Source organism: Homo sapiens, chromosome 7, assembly GCF_000001405.40.
Source record: "Homo sapiens chromosome 7, GRCh38.p14 Primary Assembly".
NCBI classification, from domain to species: domain Eukaryota; kingdom Metazoa; phylum Chordata; class Mammalia; order Primates; family Hominidae; genus Homo; species Homo sapiens.
In genome coordinates, this window is record NC_000007.14 from 146029717 (window position 1) to 146033875 (window position 4159).

The following is a 4159-nucleotide window of genomic DNA, read 5'->3' on the forward strand; positions in this document are numbered from 1 at the left end:
AATTGTTAAATGGGGTGCCTAAGAACAACAACAAAGATCAGTATTATGCTCTCTGATGGCACCTTTTGATTTGGAATTTCTGGGTGATGTGTAATATGTCAAAGCTACACTATGACTCTCTTTGCTCTTTGAACCAAACTGAGATAAATGCATGTAGCCCTTCTGCAGGATCAAATCAGGAAGAAATGCGTTACACCATTGTTCTGATGCCTGTGGACAATGATATCTATAGTATATATTACATTAAAGACATTCTCCTTCTATGTTAAACCATGCTATATTGATATGTCAAATTGAATGTGAGTGGCAAGCTACTATCTGCTAACCATTTTAAGACTTAGTCTTACCTCAGGTTTAAATGAGCCTTGTAGTCATTGTAGGAGAAACTCAGTTGAAACCTGTCTAAGAGTGGCTTTTTCTGACATGAAAAAAAGGTAAGATATGGGTTGTATAACAGCAAAATGACTTAATGGCATGGTTTTAAATATATGTTGATATGGACATTAAACATAATTATTTAACAAGATGACAACTAGGAAACATCTATTTACATGGCAATAGGATTGACCTTTGCTCTGGTCTTTGACATTCATCTCTACAAAACATGCAGTTAGAAGGCTAGCTATTTTCCTTAAAACTGATGGACAAGATGAATAATAGTATTATCAATGTTCCCCAAGAAAGTAAATGTATATTTTTCTATAGATATTTATAATTTTAAAAATTATTTTACTTGCAATATTCATTTTGTCCATTTTCAACTAGATAATCTACAAGGAACTTACCTTTACCAAATATTATGCTGTGTTTTTTTTTTTTACTCAAGACAGAACTATAAGTTTTAATGCTTTGACAAAATTATAAATGTGCATTAATAAGATGACTAAAAGGACAGATAGTTTTAAGTGAAGCAGCAAGTGCAAAAACTGGTAAACCCGAGGGCACATATTTTCAGTTGAATGCTCTAGGCATATATCTGAAAATATTTAAATATTTAAAACACAGGCGCATGATTCATCCCCTCCAGTTGTAAAAGATACTTAACCCAACAAATACAAGGTAGACAATAAAAAGGATAAAAAATGAACTGTAATCAGGAAGGAGATAGCTGCGCCAACTACTGTAAACTGAATAATTATTGCAATTTAGAGTTGTAGTCATTTTTGAACTTAATAACAGAGAAAACAAAAGAAAAAGAAAATTTTGTTTAACTAATACTCATTCACTGATACAAGGAAATAAATGAGTTTTTTTAAAGACCAGTTTCTTGATAATTTCTAGAAGATAATTCTATGAATAATTTATCTTCTAGATACCCGTGTAAGCCATATTATATAAAGTGTTGGGCAATATCTTGAGGAACAATTGTGTTCTCGTGACTGTATATTGCTTATTTTTAATGGCCAGGCAATAAGAAAATATATTCTCTAATTTGTAGTGAAGTACGTACAATTTGCTGTAAGACAACGCAAGCTGGAAATCCCTCAGGTACCATATAAATTGGATACCATTATTTTCCAGTTCTGCTATGAATACCGCTTTGGGGGGCATAAAGCTTATAAAAGTTTGATAATCTCCTTAAAATGAAGAAAAATATATAATGTTATTTATGGAATATTTACAAGAATATGGGGATATGAATACCTAGGATTTGAAAGGGTCCAGGAGCTGAAGTTTTATTTGTTTCTCAGGCAATCTTCATTTGTCTTCACCTTTTCAATCTTGCCCATTTTTAATTGTTCCCTTGGGCAACCATCCAGATGTAAGACTAAACCTAAGAATTATCATAAATAATTCTTTTTAAATTAATGCCATCTCACCCTATCATTCTCACTCCACATTTAATATCTAAACTTGGTGGTAATTTTAATGTTTAATAGGTGTTATTTTATCTCTCTGAATTAATAATAATAATAATAATAATAATAATAATAATAATAATAATTCTTGCAGCCCTTTGTGATGAACTTTTCCACTCATTTAACCCAATGTCTTTGACACTCTGTTGCCATATGATCTAACAGGGCGGGTGGATTTCAGACTTGTGGTACATTAACATCATCTATAAAGGTCGTAAAAATTGCAGACATTTGGGGATCCATGGTCATCAACTTTTATTTAATGGTTCTGGTTGGTACCCTGAAATCTTATTTTAATTTCAATTATTTTATTTTATTTTATTTTATTTTATTTTATTTTATTTTATTTTATTTTATTTTATTTTTTTGAGACGGAGTCTCACTCTGTCAACCAGGCTGAAGTGCAGTGGCGCAATCTCAGCTCACTGCAACCTCCACCTCCCGGGTTCAAGCAATTCTCCTGCCTCAGCCTCCCGAGTAGCTGGGATTACAGCTGTGTGCCACCATGCCCAGTTAATTTTTTTGTATTTTTAGTAGAGACGGGGTTTCACCATATTGGCCAGGCTGGTCTCGAACTCCTGACCTCGTGATCTGCCCGCCTCAGCCTCCCAAAGTGCTGGGATTACAGGCGTGAGCCACTGTGCCCGGCCTGAATGTTATTTTATAAAAACACTTGACAATTCATATGCAGATAGCCCATAGAACTCCTTTTGAGGAAGTTTGTGGAGAAGAATCATAAACTTTGTGTCTTTCCTTCTTTTTAAAAGGCACACGTCCGGTACATCACATGCAGTTAGTAAATACCTAATTAATATATGAAATAATAAGCATTAATATATTTCAGCCAAGTAATTTCCAAATGTAGTTAAGCGGCTGAAGAATGAGACTGACACTTCATTTTTCTATGGGGACTAAATTTATAGATCTTATTGCGGTCCAACCATTACTCGCATTTGAATCGCTAAATATGTTTGCTAGAATTACGGTTTCCAATGTTACTCACATCTACAGACATCTCTTGGTAATATACATTTTCATTGGCTCCCCAAGTGGTATTTTCATACACTTTATTTTGAGAATCATTATTCTAGAAGGTTTTATATTCTGCAGTTATTCTTCTTAAAGTACTCTTGTCAAATAGTTTCCTCATATACACCTCATTAGACATTGTTACACTTAATATTGTGTTTAAATTCTGAAAAGAAATGTGCTTTATATATCATGTGTAAAATTCATTTATAGAACATTTTAAGGAATTATATAATGCACCTGATATTGATGTGTCTATGTCATCTTCTCTTTATTATGGAAGAAGACAACAACATTGCCACAAGCATGAGGGTATATGTATCCTTAAGAGGGGGACAAAAAGCTTTTAATCTCCTAAAAAAATTGTTCAGAAATTCAGTCAAAATCTGTCGGGCATGGTAGCTCACACCTGTAATCCCAGCACTTTGGGAGACCAAGGTGGTTGGATCATCTGAGGTGAGAAGTTCAAGACCAGCCTGGCCAACATGGTGAAACCCCTTCTCTACTAAAAATAAAAATAAAAAAATTAGTAGCTAGGTGTGGTGATGCATGCCTGCAGTCCCAGCTACTTGGGAAGCTGAGGCAGGAGAATCACTTGCACCCAGGAGGTGGAAGTTGCAGTGAGTGGAGATCGCACCACTGCATTCCAGCCTGGGTGACAGAGTGAGACTCTGTCTCAAAAAAAAAAAAAAAAAAAAAAAAATTCAGCCAAAATATTAGATTCCTAGAAAGAACATTTTGGCCTCTACAATGTGTAGGTCAATAGCTTGTTTCAAATACGCATTTTTTAAAAAAATAGAATTTTTGGCCGGGCGCAGTGTCTCATGCCAGTAATCCTAGCACTTTGGGAGGCTGAGGTGGATGGATCACCTGAGGTCAGAGGTTCAAGACTAGCCTGGCCAATGTGGTGAAACCCCATCTCTACCAAAATACAAAAATTAACCAGGTGTGGTGGTGTGCACCTGTTCACCCAGCTACTGGGGAGGCTAAGTCAGGAGAATTGCTTGAATCTGGGAGGGGGAGGTTGCAGTGGGCCGAGATTGTGCCACTGTACTCCAGCCTGGGCAATAAGAGTGAGACTTTGTCTCAAAAAAGAAAAAGAATTTTTATTTGACTTCATGTAAACTGATTTCAAGTAATGCATGATCCCAACACATCCACAAAGTATGTAAAATAATGTATACCCACCTTATTATTTGAACTAAATTTTCTTATATGCTATAATTTAAAATATAACTTCAAAAATTTCAAATTTTTTCTTAAGGTTTCAG